Source organism: Homo sapiens, chromosome 15 (assembly GCF_000001405.40).
Source record: "Homo sapiens chromosome 15, GRCh38.p14 Primary Assembly".
Taxonomy (NCBI): Eukaryota; Metazoa; Chordata; class Mammalia; order Primates; family Hominidae; genus Homo; species Homo sapiens.
The window spans coordinates 86,163,122-86,190,039 of NC_000015.10; the positions used below are offsets into that span (position 1 = coordinate 86,163,122).

At 38.0% G+C, this 26,918-nt stretch overlaps 1 protein-coding gene and 1 pseudogene across 11 annotated transcripts in view; one reads left to right on the top strand and one right to left on the bottom strand.

Annotated features, from left to right (window-relative positions):
* The window catches only part of AGBL1 (AGBL carboxypeptidase 1), a 951,857-nt gene that overhangs the window by 83,502 nt on the left and 841,437 nt on the right, over positions 1–26,918 (top strand). The window lies entirely within an intron of this gene.
* LOC124900360 (uncharacterized) lies at positions 10,077–10,149 on the bottom strand (annotated as a pseudogene).

A 26,918-nucleotide genomic window follows, 5' to 3' on the forward strand; every position in this document is an offset into this window, starting at 1 on the left:
GATAATAATAGGCTCTTAATTAAATTCAAACGAGGCTGAGCATGGTGGCTCATGTCTGTAATCTCAGTGCTTTGGGAGGCAAAGGCGGGAGGACCGCTTGAGGCCAGGAGTTTGCGACCAGCTTGGGCAACGTAGGCAGACCCTGTCTCTACAAGAAATTAGTTGGGTGTGGTGGTGCACACCTGTAGTCCCAGCTACTCAGGAGGCTGAGGTGGGAGAGTTGCTTGGGCCCAGGAGTTTGAGACTACAGTGAGTCATGACTATGCCATTGCATGCCAGCCTGGGGGACAAATTGAGATCCTGTCTTAAAAATAAATAAATGAGGGCTGGGTATTGTGGCTCATGCCTGTAATCCCAGCACTTTGGGAGGCTGAGGTGGGTGGGTCACCTAAGATCAGGAGTTTGAGACCAGCCTGGCCAACGTGATGAAACCCTATCTCTACTAAAAATACAAAAATTAGCTGGGCATGGTGGTGGATTCCTGTAATCCCAGCTACCTGGGAGGCTGAGGCAGGAGAATCACTCAAACCCAGGAGGTAGAGGTTACAGTGAGCCAAGATCACACCACTGCACTCCAGCCTGTGAGACAGAGTGAGATTCTGTCTCAAAAAAAAATGAATAAATAAAATTAAATAAATACATTGAAAAGAAATATTTTAAAAAAAATTATTGGTGAATTTCCTATGTAGTAATGAATGAAAGCCAGAATGTACTGAGTAGGTGCTATGCTAGGCACTTCATATTTGTTACCTTTTTTCCCCCTGATACCAGGCTGGCTGCACATGCAGAGTTCTGCCCCATCCAAACATGTCTGAAACATCAGTTGGCACACCTCCCAAGAGCTCTATTGCATGAGGGAATGAGGTGCCTTCTGGGAGAGAACTCATTCTGAGAGACTGCGAAGCAGCAGCCACCAGCTTGAAAGGGAGCAAAGTTTCTCTCACTGGAGGGAAGAAAAAAGTTCAGAGTCTTTTAGAGTTGTCTGGGGGAACCGACAGAGATTGGAGCAGGGAAAGATCTGAATTGGAGGGGCATGTGGGGACAGCATTCACATTAAAACTTTGCTGTCTATTTGAAATAGGCTTCTAGTGTTTGGTCTGTTAATGAACTCAGCTGGGGCTTAAACTTTTCTGGGGGTGCTTTTTATAGAAGTAGGGAGGAGGAAATGACACTGGGCCAGAGTGTGCTACCTCTTGCTCGTTTGTTCCACTGTGGACAAGCTTGTTTATCTGCACTAAAGCTGTCTTTGAGCTGTCCAAACTCACTAAGTAGGGAAATTTATTGAGGCAGACAGATTACTTGTCTGCGAATGACTCATCTTGTGACCTTAGGAAAGCTTGTGATTACTCCACGTCTCAACACTTTCTGCGGGAGGCTGTCCCTTTGTGCCGTCATTCCCAGGATGGGCCTGAAGATTTTGATAATAATAAGGACCATTTCCACTGGCCACGTGCTTGACCTTTTCCAAAGTACAGCCACATCCCCTCTGATCCTTTTGGATTCTCACAGTGTAATATTGAACCCAACCTTTGGAACTGGGTTATCAGATGTTGTCATCAGTGTGTCTTCCAGGATTTTAAACTCTGCTGGCTTGCCTTGCTTTATAAGTATCATAGCCAATTGGAAATGGGTTGGATCTTCCTAGCAGAGACCAGGTCTTGAAGCCCATTGTATTCTCTGACCATTGCTCCACACTTCCAGAAAGAGGACTCGGGCTGCTCACAGGCTGGGATAGCTCCCTCACCGCTCACCTTCATTTTCTCTGGAGCTGCCCCAAGGACACAGGAAGTCAGGAAGTGTTTTGCTCAAGACCATGCTGGTCTCACCCTCACAGAGGATAACATCTTTAGTATCCCCACCTTCTTAATGCCCTCTCAGGTTTTCAGCAGGAAGGTCATGCTATGATTTATCTCTTTACCCTCAGGGTCAGTCTCATGTTATGAGATTGTGGAGGTCGGAGTACCTGGGCTTAAACACCTTGGCAACGGGAGGAGATGGATATGTTTGGTCTTCAAGCAAGCTTCATAAGCAAATTCTTCACCTTAGTCTCCTGTTGGCTGTCCTAGTAGCTCCTTGTGCTTGGAATAGTGTTAGGTGATATTCTCCCTCCAAAGGACCAATCTTCTAGGGCCTCCCTGGCCTTAGAATTCTGCCTGAGTGCAGGATTACTGGGCATTGCTTTATTGGCAGCCCTTTCTGGTGATTTCATCTGCAATTTATGAGCTAGAAAAAATGTCCTGCTTCTCTTCTCCCTGCCCCCAAATCACTCACTGCCTCTGCCCAAAGCCGGGTCTTCTGGGCTTTCTCCAACCATCACTCCATTCCACTTTATCTGATCATAGTAACTGATAGATGAGTGAGACTCAGCCAGAGCTAATGGATTCCATGAGATCATGAGTGAGTGGGTGACTCAGCTACTCTTCACTGAGACAATGGAGATCCAAGTTAGAAGAAATGGATTTTTTTCTGTTTCTTAAAATAGTTACTGAATTCCCCCTGGGTTTTAATTCCCTCCCAGCCCCAACTAACGGCTTCATGATTCCCCATTCAACATTAGAGTCTGTGGTCTCCAGGGCATGGCCTCACAGTGGGGCTTCACTCTATGTCTCAGCACTTTCTGCTTGTACCTTGTCTCCAGAGCACTCCAATTCAAATACCTTGGAACAGGAGCAAAAAAATTCCACCCCAGCCTCACAAGCGCTGATATTGGGGGCGTGCACCATGAGCTCAAGTTACTAGCAGAGTTATTATTGCATCTGCAACCTGACTCCAAGCCTGTAGCTGATGGGGAATGAATAGTTTCTTACATGAATTAAGCCTTGGCAACTAGAGTTATAGGGTTAAAGCCCTTTCATCTTCTTAAGAAGCCACTGAGCTCTTCCTGATAAGGGCAAGCCATAGATATTCAAGTTGTAGGATCTAAAGTTCGAAGGTCTTAAGGGACCTTCTTATCATCTCCTTCATCTTAAAATGAGGTCACTGAAACCCAGAGAGGCTGAACCAAGCCTTCTACCCTAACTTCAAGGCACCATTTATTACTCCAAGACACTTTTCTGCATATTACAAAACAAACATGCTTTGAATTAGGACTTTTATTTGACAACATTCTATGTGCCTGTCTCAATGTTAAGTGCTGGAGAAATGTTGCTTGGGGACCTCAAGTTGCCGACAGCCTATGCCAACAAGAATGATGTAGTGTATGAGGAAGGCCTTGCATTCTGATCCAGTCTTGGGCTTGTGAAATGACCAGCTCCCTATCCTGTGGAAATGCCTTTATAATGCCTTTCTCAGAAAAGCCCACAGAGCTGAGCAGACAGGGCCTCTGCTTTGGGCTCTGGGCCTCAGGCGACCCTACACTTTGGAGAGTCTTCCTTGAAATGTCTCAGGTATTCTTTTGGTGCTTGAGAAGGGCTTGGTCTGGCAGTGCCATCCAGGGGGGCTCTAGTCCCTGTTTCTCACCTTTGAGGTGTTCTCTAATCCCCTGTCACCTGGGTGGTGAACCAGATTCCTTCAGGAGGAGGAGCTCAGGAACTCATCCTGCGTGTGGGTTGTCCTGATTCAGGTGTGTTGGACTGGTGAGCAGATCTTTCCCATTGCTGGTTCTGTATTTATTCCTGAGGATGACATGCTGGACAGTGAGAAGGGTGCTTGATATGTTGATATTGGATGGATCAAATAAGTTACACAGACAGGCCTCCAAAAACAAAACAAGACAAACCTCCCTTGGTCCTTCATATCCTGGGGAGGCCTTACATGCACCACTTTCCCCTGATGACGGTCCTCTACAGAAATTGCATTTCCACCTTTATCTGCTGAAGCTTGTACAGCTCGTACCTCCCTATAGATTTCCCTCAGTTTTCCCTCTAGAGACTAGAGGCAGGCTCTAGGAACTTTCACTTGCCATAGAAGTTAATCTTCTTGCCCAGCCTGACTCAGTGAGGAGCTTATGCAAAGAAATTTGTATTTTCCTGTAAATCACACCTTCCTCACAACACTGTAACCACCTACAAATATGGAGGAAAGGGAGTTTGAGGAACTTGGGGGAGGTATGGAAAGACTCTTATCAGGAGGGACTCTTGTGGTTTCACCTTTTACTTTGAGGGAACTGATATTTCTTTTTTACTTTTCTTTTTTTTTTTTTTGAGATCAAGTCTCACTCCGTTGCCCAGGCTGGAGTGCAGTGGCCTGATCCTGGCTCGCTGCAACCTCCACCTCCTGGGTTCAAGCGATTGTCCTGCCTCAGCCTCCCAAGTAGCTGGGATTACAGGTGCCCACCATCATGCCCAGCTAATTTTTATATTTTTAGTAGAGATGGGGTTTCACCATGTTGGCCAGGCTGATCTTGAACTCCTGACCTCAGGCAGTCCGCCTACCTCAGCCTCCCAAAGTGCTGGGATTATAGGCGTGAACCGCCATGCCTGGCCCGGGAACTGATATTTCTAATAGAATTCTAAATTCTTCAGGGATGGATTCCACACTCAGGCACCATAAATTATAAAGCAGATGGGGGAAGAAAACACACTCTGGTTTTCCTGTGGGGTTGTGAGAGGGTGCAGTGTCTGGAGATGTGCTTGTTTAGCAGAGACAAGCCAACTCAGTTGGCTGGGAAGGAAAGGGTCAAAAGGAGGCCATCACACAAATGTGTAGCCATGGAAAGCTAGCTGCTTTTAAGAGTTTAGGCAGAGATTGTAGGATGAGGACAGATTGAAAGCTTTCTGCCTAAGTTCAATTATAGTGCTATTTTAATATTAGCTCTCTATGTGATCATTAGTCATCTTCAACAAAGCTAATGAGAAAAATGAGTAGAGAACAATAAATGGTTATTTAAAAGGAGTGAATTAGTAGAGATCAGGTCTGAGTTTCTTTCATATGGTGCATCATAGGTATTCAATAAATGCCAGTTGAATGAATGAACACTGTTGTTTTGGTTTGCCTGAGTTGTCCTCTTTTAACTATCCATTGATTCATTCAGCAGTATTGTGGGGCTTTTATTATTGTCAGAGATTTGTGGGCATTGAGTTGAAAAGACACAGTCCTTGCCCTCAAGGATTGTATTGATACATGCACACATTAGCATGTAAACAAATAAGATTAATGTGATCATGGGGGGGATATTTAAGAGGGAGGGTTTCAGTCTGCTCAGGAATTAGCAAGGAGGAACTCACTGAGAGGGCAGCTTTTGATTTGAAATAGGGAAGGAATTTCTGGATGTTAATTTTATAAGAGCACCACGTTCTAGGCAGAGGCAGAAGCAAGAGCAAAGACAAAAAAGCATGAAAACAATGAGTGATATGTATCAAGACAAAAAAATTCCTATTCCTTAACCCAATTTTTCTTTTCTTAAACTATGTCCTAAAAATTCACTTTGAAATGTGAACTAAGATTTATGTGCAAAAATATCAATCACAGTATTATTTATAATTGGAAATATTATAACCTGAAAAAGCTCAATAATAGGGAATGCTTGGTAAAAGTGATATGTTTCCATATCATATTATGAAGCAACACACAAAAATAGGTTAGGAACGATGTTTGTTGTGGGAAACAGCTTATGATAAAATATTGACTAGAAAAAGTAAGTCTCAAAGTTCAGAGTGATATAATCTACATTCCCAGCAGCATATGAATGTCCATTTAATTGAATCCTCACCAACAATAAATATTACCATTTTTCTAAATTTTTATTACTTTGATTTCTGAGATTGTTGTCTTGATCTCAATTGCATTTCTGTGATTATTGGATAGTTGAATATTTTTAAGAGTTTCTCTGTTTTTTATTTCCTCTTTGTGAATTACATATTCCCATTCTTCTGTTGTCTACTAAGATATTAGTGTTCTCACCTTAAAAAACAAACTAGAGATAAAATATATAAACCAATGTTGATGGACATTAGGCAACGAAGGGCAGTGATTCCTGAGAGATAAGCCCTTAAATTCCCCCAGCTCATTGTCTTAGAGAGTTTCTAGATTGCAGTGCAGGGACAATGAACTGACTTGCAGCCCAGCAGACTCCCTGAGTTAAAGAAACAGTTGGGAGACAGAGCTGAAGGCCTGGAGAAACCAAGGTGCATAGCATTTGTAGGACAGAGTCCTAGAAAGAAAGCTGCACAGAAGGAAAACTCTGGAGATCTTCAGGGATTACCCTCAGGTATTTAGCTGGATATGCAAGCGTACTTATAGGGAAATTAGCCAAAGCCAAGGAAAGACCACCTGCAGGAAATGGAGGGAACAATATCTGACACACACACAGGACTGGAAGTAGTACTTGGTTCTGAAAGACAGACTGGAAAACCTCATGACTCATGGGACATTGGATAAAGTACACAGGATTTTTCCTCAGTAGGGAGGAATAAAGTCATCCCTCGATATTCATAGAGGATAGGTTACAAGACCTCTTGTAGATACCAAAATCTGTGGAGGCCCAAGTCCTTCATATAAAATATTGCAATAGTCGCATATAACTTATGCACTTCCTCCTGTATACTTTTAAATCTTTAAATTACTTATAATACCTACAAATGTAAATGCTATGTAAATAAGTTGTTAGACTGTATTGTTTAGGGAATAATGACAAGGAAAAATCTGTTCATATTCAGCACAGATGCAATTTTTAAAAATATATTTAATCCACAGTTGGTTGAATCCATGTGTGTGGAACCCATGAATACAGAGCTGACTGTTGTTACCTCTAGACTGAGCGTTAGCTGTAGACCAGGGCTCTGGTCCTGCCAAACAAATATTAAAAGCAAAACCTTGAATCATAGAACTACTTCCAAGTAAATTAGCTGCATCCCAAGTCAAAGCCTCAGAATATTTATTGGAACACAAAAATATTCAGCACTAAGTGAGGTAAAATCACAATGTGTAGAATCCAAGAAGAAATTATCAGGCATGCAAAGGAACAAGAAAGCACTACCCATGAGGAGGAGATAATTTATTCAATCAAAACCAGAACTGAGATAGATGTTATAATTATTAGGCAAGAACATTAAAGAGCTATTCTAACTATATTTCACATGTTCAAAAATTAAGTAATGACACAGAAGATATAAGAAAAACCCAAATTGAACCTCTGGAGATGAAATCTACAGTGTGTAGGAGAAAAACACACTGGATTGAATTAAAGAAAATTAGATGTGGCAGAAGAGAAGATTAGTTTGAAAATACAGAAACAGAACATTTCCAAAATGAAACACACAGAGAAGAGATTTGAGAAGAAGAGAGCACTAGTGAACTATGGGACAACTTCAAGCAGCCCAGTACATATAATTTGAGCCACTGGGGAGAGGAGAAATAGGTAGGGACAGAAAAAAATATTTGAGGAAATAAAGGCTTAAATCTCTGAGATACAATAAAAATGATAGGGACACAGGAAACCATGTGCATAAGAAACATGAAAAAAACGACTTCAAGGAAAATCATAATTAAACTTCTCAAAACCAGCCAGGTGTGGTGGCTTATGCCTGTAATCCCAGCACTTTGGGAGGCTGAGTTGGGCAGATTGCCTGAGCTCAGGAGTTCGAGACCACCCTGGGCAACATGGTGAAACCCCCCTCTCTATTAAAAATACAAAAATTAGCTGGGCATGGTGGCTCATGCCTGTAATCCCAGCTACTCAGGAGGCTGAGGCAGGAGAATTGCTTGAACCAGGTGGATGAATGTTGCAGTGAGCCGAGATCACACCACTGCACTCCAGCCTGGGCGACTGAGCAAGACTCTGTCTCCACAAAAACAAAAACAAACAAAAAACTCAAAACCAATGACAAAAAAAAAAAAAATCTTCAAAGCACCCAGGAAAGGAAAAAAGATGCATTATGTACACAGAAACAAAAATAAGAATCTAACAGATTTCTTGTTGGAAACAATGCAAGTGAAAAAACAATGGTGCAGCATTTTTGAAGTATGGAATTCTGTACTCAGTGAAAATAGCTTTTAAAACTGCTGATGAAATAAAGACTTTTCGGACATACAAAAACTAAAAGACATCATCAACAGCAGACTCTCACGCCAAGAAATATTAAAAGAAAACTTTAGGCAGAAGGAAAATGATACGAGTGGAAAGATGTATCTATTCAAAAGACCAAGGAGCACTAGAAATGGTAACATGAGTAAATATATTTGATTTTAGATTATTATTTTAGTCTCTTTAAAAATAGCTAAGTATTTAAATAAAGGTAATCTCAATGTAGTCTGGAGTTTATATTTTTTGTAAAATTAAAATATATGACAACAAGAGCACAAAGATCAGGAAGAGAGAAATAAAAGTATTCTATTGTAAGTGTCTTATGTATTAAATGGTATATTAACAATTAAATGTAGACTATGATAATTTGAAAACGTACACTAAAGCAACCACTAAAACAGTTAAGAGTTACGGCTAATGAGTTGACAAGAAGGTAAATTGTTATAAAAACATTCAATTCATCCAAAAGAAGCCAGGAAAAGAGAAAAAGGTAGTTGAAGGACAGGTGTCACAAATAGACAAAAAATTAACAGGAATGTAGACTTAAACCTAACCATAACTCCTGAGTGGAGTTCCTCTCCACTCAGATGTCAATGTTGCATACTCTATGTAAGGGCAAATATATAATCATATTGATAAACAAGTTACTCAATTCTGCTGCATATAAGAACCACAATTCACAATTGCAAGAATATAGAACCAGCCCAAATGCCCACCAATCAACAAATGGATAAAGAAATTGTGGTATAAATATACCGTGGGATACCACTTAGCCATAAAAAGAAACAAAATAGTGGCATTCACAACAACCTAGATGAAATTGGTGACTATTATTCTAAGTGAAGTAACTCAAGAATAAAAAACCAAACATCTTATGTTCTCACTCGTAAGTGGGAGCCAAGCTGTGAGTGTGCAAAGTCATAAGAATGTTAAAATGGACTTTGGAGACTTGGGGAAAGGGTGGGAGGAGTGTAAGGGATAAAAGACTACGCATTGGGTACAGTGTGCAGTGCTCAGGTGATGGTGCACCAAAATCTCAGAAATCACCATTAAAGAACTTATTCATGTAATCATCACCTGTTCTCCAAAAACCTATTGAAATAAAAAAATTAAAATTGTGCTGCATATAAGAAACACACTTAAAATTTTTTATTGGTATATAGTAATTATACATGTTTATAGAGCACATGTGATATTTTGATACATTCACACAATGTGTAATGATAAAATCAGAGTGTTTAGGATATCCATCACCTTGGGCAGTTATCATTTCTTTGTGTTGGGAATATTTCAAATCTTCTAGTTATTTTGAAATAGATATCGTTGTTACCTATCATCACTTCACTATGCTATTGAACACTGGAATCTATTCCTTCTATCTAACTGTGTTTGTACCCACATTAACCGATTTCTCTTCTCCCTTCCCCACTCCCAGCCTCTGGTAACTATCATTCGACTTTCATCCCCATGAGATCAACTTTTTAGCTCAGACATGTGACTGAGAAAAATGTGAGTGGTAGTTGTCTGTGTCTCGCTTATTTCACTTAACATAATGACCTTCAGATCCATCCATGTTGCTGCAAATGACAGGATTTCATTCTTGTTTAATGGTGGACTAGTATTCCATTATGGATATAGACCACATTTAAAAAATCCATTTATCTGTTGATAAACACTTAGGTTGATTCCATATCTTGGCTCTTGCGAATAGTGCTGCAATAAACATGGGAAGCAGGTATCTCTTTAATATACTGATTTCCTTTCTTTTGGTTAAATATTCAATAGCGTGATTACTGGATTGCATGATAGTCCTATTTTTAGTTTTTTTTCAAAACCTGCATATTGTTTTCTATAATGGCTGTATAAATTTAGATTCTGACTAACAGGCTATACGAGTTCCCTTTTCTCCACATCCTTGCCAGCATCTGTTATTTTTTTGTCTTTTTGATAACAGCCATTCTAACTAAAGTAAGATGATATCTCATTGCGGTTTTGATTTGTGTTTTCTTGGTGATTCGTGATAGTGAGCATTTTTTCATATATCTGTTGGCCACCTGTATGTCTTCTTTTGAGAAATGTCTATTTAGATCCTTTGCCCACTTTATTATTATCATTTTCTCCATTTAAGCTGTTGGCATTCATCAATACTCTCAGATGTCTCTACCAACATAGGCTTCATCAGAAACCTTTGTCTACTTTTTAATGGAATTATATGTTTTCTTGCTATTGAATTGGGTTCCTTGTATATTCTGGTTATTAGTCCCCCGCCAGAGAGTTTGCAAATATTTTTTTTTTCATTCAGCAGGTTGTCTCTTCATTCTGCTGATTGTTTCCTTTTCTGTGCAGAAGCTTTTTCGTTTAATGTAGTCCCATTTGTCTGTTTGTGTTTTTGTTGCCTGTGCTTTTGAGATCTTAGCCATAAAATCTTTAACCAGACCAACCTTCTGAAGAATTTCTCCAGTGTTTTCTTCTAGTAGTTTCATAGTTTTGGGTTTTATATTTAAGTCTTTAATCCATTCTGTGTTGATTTTTGTATGTGCCGAGAGGTAGGGGTCTAGTTTCACTCTTCTGCATGTGGATATCCAGTTTTCCCATCATCATTTATTGAAGAGGGTGTCCTTTCCCCAAAGGATGTTGTTGGTGCTTTTTTCAAAAATCAATTGGCTACAAATAGGTGAATATCTTTCTGGGTTTTCTGTTCTGCTGTGCTGGTCTGTATGTCTGTTTCTATGATAGTACCATGCTGATTTGGTTGCTATAGCTTTGTATTATATTTTGAAGGCAGGTAGTGTAATGCCTCCAGCTTTGTTCATTTTGCTTAGGATTGCTTCGGCTATTTTGGGTGTTTTGTGGTTTCATATGAATTTTGGAGGTTTTTCTCTATTTCTGTGAAGGATGTCATTGGTATTTTGATGGGGGTTGCATTGAATCTGTAGATTGCTTTGGAGTAGTATAGTCTCAAGATTAATTTTAACAATATCAATTCTTTCAATCCATGAGCATGGGTGTCTTTCCATTTGTTTGTGTCCTTTTCAATTTCTTCATCAGTGTTTTGTAGTTTTCCTTCTAGAGGTCTTTCACCTATTGGTTAAATTTATTTCTAGGCATTTTGTTATTTTTTGTAGCTATTGTAAATGGGATTGCTTTTTTGATTTATTTTTCAGCTAGTTTCTTATTAGTGATAGAAATACTACTGATATTTGTTGATTTTGTATCCTGAGACTTTACTGAATTCAGTGATCAGTTCTAAGAGTTTTTTTGGTGTAGTCTTGGTTTTTCTAAATATAATAAGATCACGTTATATAAAAAGAGAGACAATTTGACTTTCTGTTTTCCAATTTAAGTGCCTTTTATTTCTTTCTCTTGCTAGAGATTGTTCCGGCTAGAACTGTCAGTACTATGTTGAGTATGAATAGTGATAGTGGGCATTGTTGTCTTGTTCCAGTTCTCAGAGGAAATTCTCTCAGCTTTTCTCCATTTATTATGATACTAGCTGGGTTTGTCACATGTGGCTTTTATTATGTTTCTTATGTTTTATTATGTTTCTTATGTTTTATTATGTTTCTTATGTTTTATTATGTTTCTACTATGCCTAATTTGTTAAGAGTTTTTTATCATGAAGGAATGTTCAATTTTATGAAATGCCTTTTCTACATCTTTTGGGAAGACTGTATGGTTTTTATCTTCCATTCTGTTTATATGATATGTCACAGTTATTGATTTGTATATGTTGAACCATCCTTGCACTCCTGGGTTAAATCCCCCTTGATCATGGTATATTATCTTTTTGATGTGTTGTTGGTTTGCTAGTATTTTGTTTGCTATATTTTGTTGAGGACTTTTGCATCTATGTTCATTAGGGATATTGATCTATAGGTTTCTTTTTTTGTTGTATCCTTGTTTCGTTTCAGTATTAGGGTAATGCTGGTTTTGTAGAATGAGTTAGGAAGAATTCCCTCCTCTTTAATTTTTTGGAGTAATTCTAGAAAAATTGGTGTTAGTACTTCCTTATAAGTTTGGTAGAATTCATCAGTAAAGTCATCTGGTCCTGAGTTTTTGTTCTTGTTGTTGTTGTTAGGGGACTTTTTATTACTCATTCAATCTTGTACTCATTATTATTCTGTTCAGATTTCCTATTTCTTCCTGGTTCAATCTTGGTAGATTGTATGTATCCAGGGATTCATCATTTTCCTCTAGGTTTTCTGATTTGCTAGCATATAGTTGTTCATAATAGCATCTAATTATTCTTTGTACTTCTGTGGTATCAGGAGTAATACCTCCTGTGTCATTTCTGACTTTATTTATTTGGGTCTTCTCTCTTTTTTGTTAGTCAGTTAGCAGTTTATTGATTTTATTTATTTTTTAAAAACTTCATTTCATTGATCCTTTGTATTTTTTTAGTCTCTATTTCATTTAGTTCTGCTCTGATCTTTATTATTCCTTTCTTTCTACTAATTTTGGGTTTGGTTTGTTCTTGCTTTTCTAGTTCCTTGAGGTGCATCACTAAATTGTTTATTTGAAATTTTCTACTTTTTTGACATAGTCACTTTTTTGCTATAAACTTCTCTTAGCACCACTTTTACTGTATTCCACAGATTTTGGTATGTTGTAATTTTACTTTCATTTATTTCAAGAATTTTTAAATTTCCTTCTCAGTGTCTTCCTTGACTCAATGGCCATTCAAGAGCATGTTGTTTAATTTCACGTATTTCCATATTTCCTTTTATTATTGAGTTCTAGTTTTATTCCACTGTGATCTGAAAAGATACTTGATAGGATTTTGATGCTTAAAATTTACTGAGATTAATTTTGTGGCCTAACATATGGTCTGTCCTGGGGAATGTTCCATGTGCTGATGAGAGGAATGTGTATTCTGTAGCTGTTTGGTGAAATGTTCTGTAAATGTTAGGTCTACGTGTTCTCAGGTGCAGTCTAAATCCAATGTTTTTTTGCTGATTTTCTGTCTAGATTATCTGTCCAATGCTGAAAGTGAGGTGTTGAATTCCCCAACTATTATTGAATTGGAGTCTATCTCTCCAGTAAGGTCATTGGTGGGTAGAGCAGGTTAATCTCCAAGTTCCCTGATTGTGCTAGCATGGGGAATGATGCCAGGTGAGGCAGAACTGTCCTGAAGCCTGCTGATGGTGCACATAAGCACCCAAACTGGCAAGCATTATTGATGTGTAGGTCCCTAGATGGTGTGGTCATGGTGGTGGCAGTGGTGAGGACAGGCTTGTCTTCAGGCCCCAGGAAGGCTCCCAGACAGACCAGACTCCAAGCCTGCTGAAAGCACATGCATGTGCAGAGTGTCTGTGTCTGGGGATGCAAGGTTGCTGTCAGTGGCAGCAGCCCCAGTCAGGTGGCTCTCAGGTTCCGGGGAGTGCATGCTTCAGCTCCCTTTGTCCTGGAGAAAGCTTCCCTGGTGCACTGCACTGCCATTCACTAGGGTGTAGAACACCGCGTGGGCTAGAGTGCTGGGGACCTGGCTGCAATGCTGGGTCCAGCCAGCCTACTTGGTGGACATGAGGAAATATCAGTGGGGCTCCATGGATGTGGAAATTCAGGGGCTGTTGGGCCCCAGGGCAGGATATCATCTGGTGGGGCCTGGGCTCTTAAAATGGCTGTGTGCTGCAGCTGCTTGGGTCTGGGGAGTGTGTGGGATCCAGCCTAAACTACATCTCTGGAACAATGTCATGGTATGAACTCTAGGCAGCTTCATATACTAGTTTCAGGGCCCATGAGGGCTGAGGGGCTCTCCTGTGGCTAGGATTGCAGGAGTCTGTGGGAATGTGGAGTCCTGGGGATCCTTTGCTCACCTTTTCCCTGCATTATGGAGTTTCTTCTGACACAGAGCTGTTCTTAATCCTGGCCAGGCTAGATGCTTAGCTTCCCTCTCCTTCCATGCCTCAGAGATTCCCTGGGTGCCTCCAGGTAGCCATCTTGAAGTCTCTCCACTCAGAGCTGTGTATAAACACATTTTAAATATAAAGACTTGAGTGGGTTAAAAGTAAAAGGATGAAAAAGATATACCAAGCTAATGATAATCAAAAGAAAGCTAGGAAGCTTTTTCTAATATCAAATAAAGTAGCTTTCAGAGCATAGCATATTGCCAGGTATAAAAAGGTAATTCCGTAATAGTAAAGGGTCAGTTTATTAGGAACAAACAAAAGTCCTAAATGTTTACCTAATAACAGAGCTTCAAAATAATTGACGTAAAAACTGATAGAACTGCAAGGAAAAATAGATAGATCCATGACTTTAGTTGGAGATTTTAATAACCCTTTCTGAATAATTGATAGAATAAGTAGAGAGAAAATCAGTAAGAATATAGATGATTTAAATAACACTATCAATGAATGTGGCTTAACTGATATTCATAGGATACTTTACCCACCTACAGCAGACTATACATTCTTTTCAACTGCAATGGAATTTTTACAAAGATAGATAATATTATGAACCATAAAGCCAGTCACAATGAATTTATAAGAATTCAAATGATATTGAGTATGTTCTATGACCACAAGGAAATTAAATTATCAACAACAGAAAGGTTTCTGTAAGAGTCCCCAAAATTTGAAAATTAAATAATGTACTTCTAAAGGAACTATAGGTCAAAGAAGAAATCAAAAGTGAAACTAGAAAGTATCTTGAACTGAATGAAATGAGTATAGCATATTAAAATCTCTGGGATGCCACATTCTTGGGGGAAATTTATAGACCAGTAGGCACATATCAGAAAAGAAGAAAGATGGAATCTCTAATCAACAACCTCAGCTTCCACCATAAGAAAGGATAAAAAGAAGACTGAAATATAAAGTAAGTAAAATGAAGGAAATAAGAAAAATCAGAATAGAAATAAATAAAATTACAAATAGAAAAACAATAAGCAATTCAATCAAAAGTTGGTTCTTTGAGATCAATAAAATTGATAAAACTTCATTCCAGGCTGGGCATGGTGGTTCACACCTGTAATCCCAGCACTTTGGGAGGCCAAGGTGGGCAGATCACGAGGTCAGCAGATCAAGACCATCCTGGCCAACGTGATGTAACCCTGTCTCTACTAAAAATACAAAAATTTAGTTGGGTGTGGTGGCACCTGCCCGTAATCCCAGCTACGTGGGAGGCTGAGGCAGGAGAATCCCTTGAACCAGGGAGTTGGAGGTTGCAGTGAGCCAAGGTCACACCACTGCACTCCAGCCCGATGACAGAGCGAGACTCTGCCAAAACAAAACAAACAAACAAACAAAAAATCCAATCCAGACTGATAAGAAAAAGAGAGAAGACACAAATGACCAGTATCAGAAATGAGAGGCGAAATTCCTACAATTTCTGTAGATATGCAAAGGATAACAAGGAAATACTACGAACAACTTTGTGCCAATAAATTGGACAACTTAGATGAAATGGAAAAATTTCTTGAGAGACATAACTATCAAAGCTCACCCAAGAAGAAAAAGATAACCTATATAGCCCTATATTTGGTAATTGAATTGAATGTATGGTTAAATTATCCCCACAAAGAAAAGTCTAGGTTTAGATAAGTTCCCTGGCGAATTCTACCAAACATTTAAAAATAAATAATAAAAATTCTGTACAAACTCTTGGAGAAAATTTAAGAAGAGACAATATTTTCTAACTTATTCAATGAAGCCAGCGTTACCCTGATACCAAAAGCAGGCAAAGACTTTACAAAGAAGGAAAACTTCCAACCAATATCTCTCTTTTTTAAAATATTCATACAATGGAATTTTATTCAGCCATAGAAAGGAATGACATTCTGACACATGCTACAACATGAGTAAACTTTGCAAACATCCCTGACTGACGAGGGGCTCCTGGGCTCTCAATGCAATAGAAATTGACATGGGGCCAAAGGCTTTTCCCAGACAAAGCATGCGAAGGGTAGAGGATATAGGTTAGCATCATCTGGTTGTGATGATTATCTTGAGTAATGGGCCACCTGGTGGTCTGGCCAGCAGCAACAAGGCTGTAAATCAATTAATTATTCAGCATTCCCTCCCAAGATGGGGCACTCTGCAATCTTGATTCCTTATTTTGGATCTCCTAAGGCCAGTTCCTGGAATTGTTTAAGTAAAAGACATGGTTAAGCATTATGAGAGCACAGAAGAACAATATAGAAAGGCCATTTTCTTTGTATGACTAAAGCCTCGAGGTTAGCAGGTATGGTGTTGACACCAATATCTTTTAAGAACAGAGATGCAAATATTCTTAACCCAATTTTAGTAAATTGTTATCGACAATATATACAAGATCAAGATCAAGTGATATTTGTTGCAAGAATGCAAGACTAGTTTAACACGTGTAGAAATCATTATATATGATTGATTATATAAAAAATTAAGAAAACCCGACAATATATGATTATCTCCATGGACCCAGAAAAAACATTTGACAAGATCTACCATTTCCCAATAAAAAGCGCAATACATTAGAAATAGAAGGGAACTTTCTCAATAAATCACATCTATGAAAACTGTTAAGCCACATCATACTTCATGGTTAAAAGACTGAATGCTTCCCCAGTAAGATCAGAAAAAAAACTAGACTGTCTACTGTCATTAAATCTATTTAACATTATACTGGCGATTCTAGTCAGTGAAATAAGGCAAGGAAAAGAACTAAAAGACATCCATCTGGGTAAAGAAGATGTAAAACTATTTGCAGATGATTATCTTTGTAGAAATTCCAACGGAATCTATACACAAAAAATTACAAGAACTAATAAGTGAGTTTACCAAGGTTCCAGGATGCAAGATCAACATACAAAAAATTTATATTTCTACATAGTGCAACAAATTATTGGAAATACATCACTGAAAATTTTTAATAATATAGTTTACAATAGCAATGTAAATGTAAAAACTTAGGGATAAATCTGCCAAAAGATGTAAAAGACCTGTACACTGCAAGCTACAAAACAATGTTGAAACAAATGAAAGAAGACATAAATAGAGAGATAACTAGAGGTAATGGTTCAGAAGACTTAATATTGGCAAAATGTCAATTTTCCTTAAATTGATCTATAGATTCGTTGCACTCCCAGTGAAAATTGTGAAGGCTTTCTGTATGTTGTGGAAACTGATACATTGATTATAAAATTCATATGGAAAGACCAAGGACCTAGAATAGCCAAAGCAAATTTGAAAAAAAAGAACAAAATTGGAGGACAAAGAATACTTTAAGATTTATCATAAAGCTACAGTATGGAAGATAGTGGGGTATCAGTGTCAAGATAGATTAATGGAACAGTATAGACACTTCAAAAATAAACCCATGCATGAACAATTAATTTTTGGCACAGGCAAATTTCACGGAGGAATAATAGTATGTTCAATAAATGGTGCTGGAAAATCTGGATATTCATGTGCAAATGATAGATTTCAGCTTATACTTTACAACATAAACAAAGATGAATATAAAATGGACCATAGACTTAAATGTGCAACCTACAGCTATAACATTTCTGGAAGAAAACACAGAGGAAAACCTTTGTGATCTTCAGCTAGGCAAAAATTATTTATATAACAGCAGTGAAAACACAATTTATAAACAATTGATAAACTGTACTTTATCAATATTAAAAACTTCTGTAGCTCAAAAGGCATTATTAAAAGAATGAAGACACAGGCTACACACTGGGAGACAATATTTGCCAATCATGTACCTTGTAAAAAAGTTTTATTCTGTATATACAAAGAACAGTTAAAATTAAATAATAAAAAAGAACAATCCAATTAAAAATGGACAAAAGATTTGAACAGATATGTCACTAGAGAAGATATACAGATAGCAAATATGCACATAAAATATGCTCAACATCAGAATTAATTAGGGAAATTCATATTAAAACTGTAATATGATACTACTACTTACTTTTAGAATGGTTAGAAATTAAAAGACTGACCATCACAAGAATTGGCAAAGAAGAACACCAACACTCACACTTTGCTGGTGGGAATGGAGAAATGGTGCAACCACTTTGGAAAACAGTCTGGCAGTTTCTTAAATATTAAACACACACCTATCATATTGTTCACACACTCCTCTTCTGGGTATTCATTTACACAATAGAAATGAAAGCATATATCCTTACAAAGACTCATTTACAAATTTTCATTGCTTCATTATTTATTTGTAATAGCCGAAAGCTGGAAACAATCCTTACATGTATCAAGTGGTGAATAAACTGTAATGTTTTCATACAATAGAATATTGTTCAACAATACAAAGAGAAAATTATTGATATATGCTGCAACATGAATAAATCTCAAAATAATTATGCTGAATGAAAGATGCCAGATTAAAAAGTATATACTGTATTATACCATTGTATTAAATTCCAGAAAATGTAAAATAAACTATGGTGAGAAAAGGAAGATGAATGGCTGTCTGGAGATGGGGGTTGGAGGTACATATGGAGTAGGAGGGAGGGATTATAAAGAAGAATGAGGAAAATTTGAGGAGGATATTGATATTCATTATCTAGATTGTGGTGATGTTTCAAAGGTACATACATGAAATCTCATCAAGTTATACATTTTAAATGTGTATAACTTATTGCATGCCAATAATAAGTCAATACATCAGTCAAAAAACTAAAAAAGTTCACTTTATATTAAGGAATATGCATAGTAAAATCTTTAAAGAAGGATACCAATAACTAGTTATTTTGAATGGTGGGGGGTAAATGATTTATTTTTTGTATAACATTAGAAATTACTTTTATAATTATTAAAATTAAATGAAAATAATTTCAGTACTATCTAGTCGAAAATATATTCTTTTTGATTGTGTGGCTACAGGCAAATGCATTATAACTAACAACACCATCATCAATAATTAGATCATGCATTCATTCATTCAAAAAGGAATTGAGGGGAGTTTTGACAGATGAACTAGATTTAACTCATCAGTGTTGGGGATGGAAAGGAAGTGAATAAAATAGAGAAGGGTTTTTTGAGCATAGAATGAGAGCATTAGCAAATGCACAAAGCAAGAAATGGACTGGTTTCGGTGGGACAAATAATTGGTTGGATATTAATATAAGGTAACATTTGAGACGAGTGGTAATGGGAGAGAAAGGCATAAACCAATTCAAGGTCTTGCCTCTATATCTTGTCCACTTTTGTTCTCCCTTGTTTCCTTTTTTTCTCTCTGCTCCTCTTCCTCCCTTCCTCTCTTCTTCCCTTTCTCTTCTCTCCCTTTGTCATCTTAGGTTTTTTGCATGCTAGGGAAATTCCTTGTGTTTGTTTACAACCTGAATAATTCAATTTTCTGCTACATCCTATCTGCTGTTTACTGTCTCCCACAAAGTATCTAACTATATATTTCTCTCTCTCTCTATATTCAGTTCTTTATATTCTTAGATTTATGGTCTCATGACAGCTTTGGTCTAGTGTTATAGACCCAAATGGCCCCTAGAATATTCTCGAGAATGCAAATCAAGTACTTCCAAATTAATTTCCTTTTTCTAAATTACATTTACTCTCTTTCACAAGAAGTTACCCCTTGAATATTCAGGAAATTGATTACCTCCTTTTTTTGAACTAAAGAATAGTTTTCTTTGCTATTTCAGCATTGCAGAAGCAGAGCTGTTCTCTCAGTATTAGTTTTATTTAATAAGTCACATTGGATTATGCTGGAGTTTGATATAGATCTCTCCTCAAATATTTTATAGGAGGATCTCTAAGATCAGAATAAAAGAAGCAAAAGGAAACCCTAGTAGTACAATTTTAGCAGTTTACATGTGGCGTTTGCAGTTTACAGTTTCCTTGGAGAAGTAGTGTAGTGGAACAGGTCTATACCCATAGCAAGAGATGTTGTTATTTTATTTCAGTATCACTAATATGATGCTCCCCATTATGGCTAATTCTCATGTGTGTGTGTGATTAAGAGCAAACTTTGAGAAGTTCTCATATGCAGGTTTACTAAGGAGGAAGGTAATCAAACTCATGCTTATCCAAAAGATTCTTACGTGGTTTTGACCTTGAGTTCTTGTTTCTCTGGGATAGGGGATTTCTCCAGTGTTTACTGGTGCCTCTGTCCGATCTCTGGCTATCAGAGAGTTCTAAATATTTTACTTTGGCATATTCCATTCCTGTTTCTCAGAACTGCTAAAATTTTTGCAGTTTGAATATTTTTATGAGACTTTCTAAAGGGTAAATAACACAATTTTTGACTCTATGACATATCAGTAAGTTTTTTAATTCCATAGAATCTTTAAATGCCTTATGCAAATGAAAAAGTAAAAGGTATTCAATCCAATACCCTCACTTTATAAACAGGGATAATGAGTCCAAAATAGATGATTTCCTATAATTTACACAAGTAAATAGTGGGTAGAAAAGCTCAGAGAAGACTCCAGGTCTCCTGATGTCCTATGCATATGTATTTTCACCACACCATGCTGTAGCATGATGAGTTTTTTCCTCAAATTTAAAAACAGAAATGACTAAATGACTAGAATAAATAAATAAAACATGAGCAGTGGACAGTTTTACTGGAGCCCAAGGGCTCTAAAGAGGAAAGAGCCAGCCTCAGACCTCTGTTTCCTTGAACTAATTTGTTTTTGAAAATGGTCCACCCTAATCATAGTAATCCTCATCACACATAATAAAATCACATTTTATGTGGTGTTTCAGGCCAAATGAATCCCCCAAAAATGCTTTTCAGAGCTAATACCAAAGTCCCTCAATCAGATGATGCCGTTACGAAATTAAATAATTAAACTACAGAACTAAAATATAAAAGGGTAAGAGGGAACGTGGAAAATGATCATTCTGAAACAAGATCAAGAGTCAATGAGGCAGAGAAACATGAGTCAGATCCAGATGGCAGCCACCCACTAATCCTCAGCACACTCGTGCCTGCCTGTCATCTCTTGGTAGCCGTGGGTGTTACAGCTCCAGTTTGCCACAGCCACAAGCTGGTGTACACATTCCTTAAGACAGAAAGAGATAAAGTGTTATAATGTCTTATTGATAGAGATGTGATTTCCAAGAAATGCAAAGAAAATTGCTTTTAAAAAATTTAATTTGCTGATTTTTCTCTCCATTGTTGGGAGAACCCAAATATTGACTTCTTAAATTTTGTTTGTAGTGGAGACAAATGTTCATTCCAAGTAGCATCCTAGTAGTAGTCTTTTTCTCATTAGGGTTGCAGTGAAGGCTGAAATGAGTTCATTGAGTAATTAGTCATAAGGTCCATAGTAATTCTGTCTGTTAAAGCAGAAGTATAAGAGTGTATATTGGAGGGCAATTGTTAAAAGGCTTTTGATTTTCCATGGACTTTTATACACGATCTATTCCTTATTTCTTTTTTCTTTCTTTTTTTTTTTTTTTGTCTCAAGAGGGCAAACAGCTTAAAAATGGAGTCTTAAAATCATTTCCTGAATTTGAATGTTGGCCTGCCTGGCTAGGTTGGGGAAGTTCTCCTGGATAACATCCTGCAGAGTGTTTTCCAACTTGGTTCCATTCTCCCCGTCACTTTCAGGTACACAAATCAAACGTAGATTTGGTCTTTTCACATAGTCCCATATTTCTTGGAGGCTTTGTTCATTTCTTTTACTCCTTTTTCTCTAACCTTGAAAATGGCCATACTGCCCAAGGTAATTTATAGATTCAATGCCATCCTCATCAAGCTACCAATGACTTTCTTCACAGAATTGGAAAAAACTACTTTAAAGTTCATATGGAACCAAAAAAGAGCCCGCATTGCCAAGACAATCCTAAGCCAAAAGAACAGAACTGGAGGCATCAAGCTACCTGACTTGAAACTATACTACAAGGCTACAGCCAAAATTGACAAATGGGATCTAATTAAAGAGCTTCTGCACAGCAAAAGAAACTACCATCAGAGTGAACAGGCAACCTACAGAATGGGAGAAAATGTTTGCAGTCTACTCATCTGAAAGGGCTAATATCCACCATCACAAAGAACTCAAACAAATTTACAAGAAAAAAACAACCCCATCAAAAAGTGGGCGAAGGATATGAACAGACACTTCTCAAAAGAAGACATTTATGCAGCCAACAGACACATGAAAAAATGCTCATCATCACTGGCCATCAGAGAAATACAAATCAAAACCACAATGAGATACCATCTCACACCAGTTAGAATGGCGATCATTAAAAAGTCAGGGAACAACAGGTGCTGGAGAGGATGTGGCAAAATAAGAACACTCTTACACTGTTGGTGGCACTGTAAACTAGTTCAACCATTGTGGAAGATAGTGTGGTGATTCCTCAAGGATCTAGAACTAGAAATACCATTTGACCCAGCCATCCCATTACTGGATATATACCCAAAGGATTATAAATCATGCTGCTATAAAGACACATGCACACGTATGTTTATTGCGGCACTATTCACAATAGCAAAGACTTGGAACCAACCCAAATGTCCATCAATGATAGACTGGATTAAGAAAACGTGGGACATATATACCACGGAATACTATGCAGCCATAAAAAAGGATGACTTCATGTCCTTTGTAAGGACATGGATGAAGCTGGAAACCATCATTCTCAGCAAACTATCTCAAGGACAAAAAACCAAACACTGCATGTTCCCGCTCATAGGTGGGAATTGAACAATGAGAACACTTGGACACACGAAGGGGAACATCACACACTGGGGCCTGTCGTGGGGTGGGGGGCTGGGGGAGGGATAGCATTAGGAGATATACCTAATGTAAATGACGAGTTAATGGGTGCAGCACACCAACATGGCACATGTATACATATGTAACTAACCTGCACGTTGTGCACATGTACCCTGGAACTTAGAGTATAATTTAAAAAAATCGTTTCCAGTTTCTTAAAAAGGGGATTCTAAAATAAAAATTTTTTTTCTCTCTCAAGTTCAGCTTTTGTTTTTGAAAATTACCTTTTAAGTAGTTCCTATAGGGTGGGATTTCATCACTAGATCTGGTTTATGGGTGTCCAAAACTTGAACAATTGAATTCATTCAAATCTTTGGGAGAAGGTGTATTTGCTGTCCCCCAAAATGGGTTTGAAAATATCACGCGTTCTGTTCTTACTTTTAAGTGAGAGCTGAATGATGAGAACACATGGACACATTGCGGGGAACAACAGGCGCTGGGACTTGCAGGGGGCGGGGCATGGGGAGGGAGGGTATCAGGATAAATAGCTAATGTATGCTGGACTTAATACCTAGGTGATGGGTTGATCTGTGCAGCACAGGTTTACCTGTGTAACAAACCTGCATATCTTGCACATGTATCCCGGAACTTAAAATAAAAGTTGAAGAAATCAAAAAGAGAAAATGTTATGCATTCCAACACAAGTCTCTGGACCTCACGTCCTGATCAGTAAACGTGAACAATGGAGAAATCAATGTCAGTGTAAAGATTGTTTGTTCTTTTGTGCTATGGATGCTCCAGGCCTTTCAAGCCACCATTTCAAGTGTAGTGTTAAACGTGAGGGCAAACCTGCTGCAGGCCTGTCAAAATGCTTGCTATGGGAGTGCTGTTTTATTCTCGAGAGCCAGGCTGACACGGAGCCCTCTGGCTGCCACAAAGGCCTCTTGTTGGTAAATCTCACAGAGGGTATCATTACTTTCAAGAATTTGATCCATCGATATCAATAAAAATGGAGCATCAGTTAGCAACCCCAAATGTGTCAGCTCTTTTTATGTACATTCTCTTATTTAATTTTCACATCACTGTGAAGTTGGCTTTTATGCTGCTGTTTTACAAATGAGGAAACAGAGCCTGAGAGAAATTTGGTAACATGCACAAGGTCATACCAGAAATGAAGTTCAAGACAAAATGTGACTCTAAATTCCACACTCTCTTCATTATACAACACACACTGGTTTTTCAAGTCATCCAGCCCCAGGCTATGCTTATTTCCATTAATAATTTGAGGACATTAGTCTATTATTTATACTAACGTTATAGCAAACAAAGTTAAAGCATTTGTAACTGCTTCTTCGTTTTTGTGTTTAAGCAAAAACATCCAAACTATGCTGCAAACGCACACATTGGAATGAAAACCAACACACACCCCCATCCACAAATCAGTTAACAAGATTGTACATAGTATCAGCAATTAAAAAAGGATATGGGAGAAGGAAAGACATTGCTTTACATTGTTACAGGCTGATTTCTTTACGAGGTTTTTTAAAGCGGAAGATCCCTGCTTCCTTTTTCAAATGAATTCTAATGAAATTCCAAAATACAACACAGATAAGAGCCGCCTTGTTGGAAGCTATAGTTAAAACTTCAGAGTTCTGACTTGAAACTTCTCTGCCTCATCACCTTCTCTGGGATTCCAGGACTTGAAAGAAGATGTATTGAAAGCCCCTCAAACTATTGAAAATAACATTAGGTCAGAAGCCATGGATTTGGGTTCAAGAGTGGGCTCCCTCTCTTTCATTGACCCTAAGCAACTTTCTTAATGCTGCTGAGCCTCAATTTTTACACCTTAAAAACAGGTATAATAGTGCTTGTCCTATGGAGCTGTGGTGAGATTGAAGTGGTATGATGCATATCAGGGCCCAGAACAATGGATTGAATTTAACAAGTTTTAATAATGAATACTATCCTTCATCCCTCAAGAGGCCTTCTCTAAACTGTCCAGATGATATACAGGTCACATGTGACTATGACTTTCACTGCTCAACCAATGCACTATCCCAAGGTGTAGCAAATCCTGTCCTTTGGTTGGCAAATATAGCTATCTGTATTGACATTTGAAGTCAACATCTTCCCTAAGGCTTGCTCAAAACGCTGCTTCCTTTTACGTTGCTTTATTTCCCTGCAACCTCAGGCATTCAGGGTTGGAAATTAAGCAAAGCATCATCCACATGCATTTCTTCAAGGCATTTCTAATAGATACAGTACAGAAAGGCCCAGATTAGGAAAAGATACAAGTACTTCTAAGATAATTTAAAGTTTTTTCGTCTCTCAAATGATACCAATGCTTAATAGTAGCTACTGAATTAGCTTGGGCACATGGCATGAATGTGTACACAGTTATCATATTGTTTCTGTGAATCTTCTGTGAAACTGAGGAAGTTACATTTCCTGATTCAGAGGTTGTAATTAAAATACTGTATGGTTGACAAAAAGGGGAAATTTTAGTAACTGATCTGTTGGCCCCCCACACTATGGAGCTGATCCTGTCAGTTCTTGTTAATGATCATGCTTTCTTTAGTACTGAGTAATGTGTTAGGAATAAAAAGTTTCCCCCAGCTCTTAGATGTGAAAAAATGAGTTTGAAATCATCTTCTTTATTTCTGTAAAGATTTTAATGGAGCTATAGAAAACATAAAAAAAAAGACTGTTGATAATCTTGTCCAAATTCATATTAGACTTTGCTCATCTATCTACAGACTTGGCAGACGTAACTAATATAGATTTTAACAAATTCTATTCAGGCTATAAACTTTCTGCTAAAGGAAATAAAAAGATATTACCTGCTAAATGTCCTGCACATCTTGAACACAACAGTGCTGAAAAGGGGTGTGATTTGCTTACTTGTGGATCGAGGCTTTCATAATAAAAGTTCCTGGTCACTTTGAAGTTTCCTCAGAACATGCAGAAGCAATTAACAACATGTTTGACTTTATAAAAATGGGAAGTGATAGCTTCTTAGACATGTGCCTACAAGATGGTACATCTTGATATACTGTTGCTGGCCATAGAAAAGATTTTTAATCTTTGGCCTGCAGTAAACTATTTTCAAAGTGTGAGACAAGAAGAAATCTCTTGTAATTTGGAAATATGTTGAGGATGAGAATGGGGGAAAAAGAGTACTGTAAAACAGATTTATATGCTGTTTCTCTGAAGCTGTTTGATCTTTGAAGAGACATTAAGTATCCTAGAAAAGGATGAATTAACTGTACATGAATAGTTTTAAGTTGTGACAATTATATGGAAAAAAGCCTCAATTTTTGGAAATAAGACAGCTTCAGAATTGAGAAAATGTCAATGAAAAGGGCAACCAAATTAAACAGAACTTTCTCAATTTCCTTACTAAATTTGTAATTTATTTAGAGTGCAATGTTAATTTCACAAGTTTAGATGACTTCTGTGCTTTAAAACCATTTTCCCTGGGGTAGGTTAAACTTCGTGTTTTAAAACCATGTCCATTTTACATCTGGAGAACTTATGCACACATTTAAAGATGCAAAAGACCTGATGGACAGGCCCAAGCTGGTCTGTGGTAACAAGCCTGTAGACACAAAGTGGGTGGAGATTTGGGGATGAAAACTAATCCTACATATCTAAAAGCCTGCTGTTGCCAGTAAATAAAATATTAAGTATTCCATTGTTATAGTTTGATATTTGACCCCTCGAAATCTCATGTTGAAATCGGATCCCCAGTGTTGGAGGTGGGGCCTGGTAGGAGGCATTTAGATTATGGGGGTGGATCCCTCTTGAACATCTTGGTGCTCTGCTCATGGTAACGAGTTGGTTCTCATTCCATTAGTTCCCATGAGAGCTGGTTGTTAAAAAGAGCCTGGCACTTCCCTCCTCTCTCTCTCTTTCTCTTGCTGCTTCTCTCAGCATGGTGATCTCTGCACATTCTGGCTCCCCTTCACCTCTGCCATGAGAGGAAGCTTCTGGAAGCCCTCACCAGAAGCAGATGCCGGTGCTGTGCTTCTGCAGAACCATGAGCAAAATCAACCTCTTTTCTGTGTAAATTACCCAGTCTCACGTCTTCCTTTATAGCAACACACAAATAGGCTAAGATGTAGAAGCGCAAATGCTTTTGTAGAGAGCATGTATATCACCTTGACATTACCATGCTGGACTGACACCAGGTACCCATGTAACATAGGCTCAATGAGAGCAGAGCTGCAAGACAAAGTAATGTTACATTTGCTATATAGTTTTGCCTACATAAAAGAAGGATGTCCTAAAGGGTGCAGGCATTTGAAAGAAGTATCATTAGAGAAG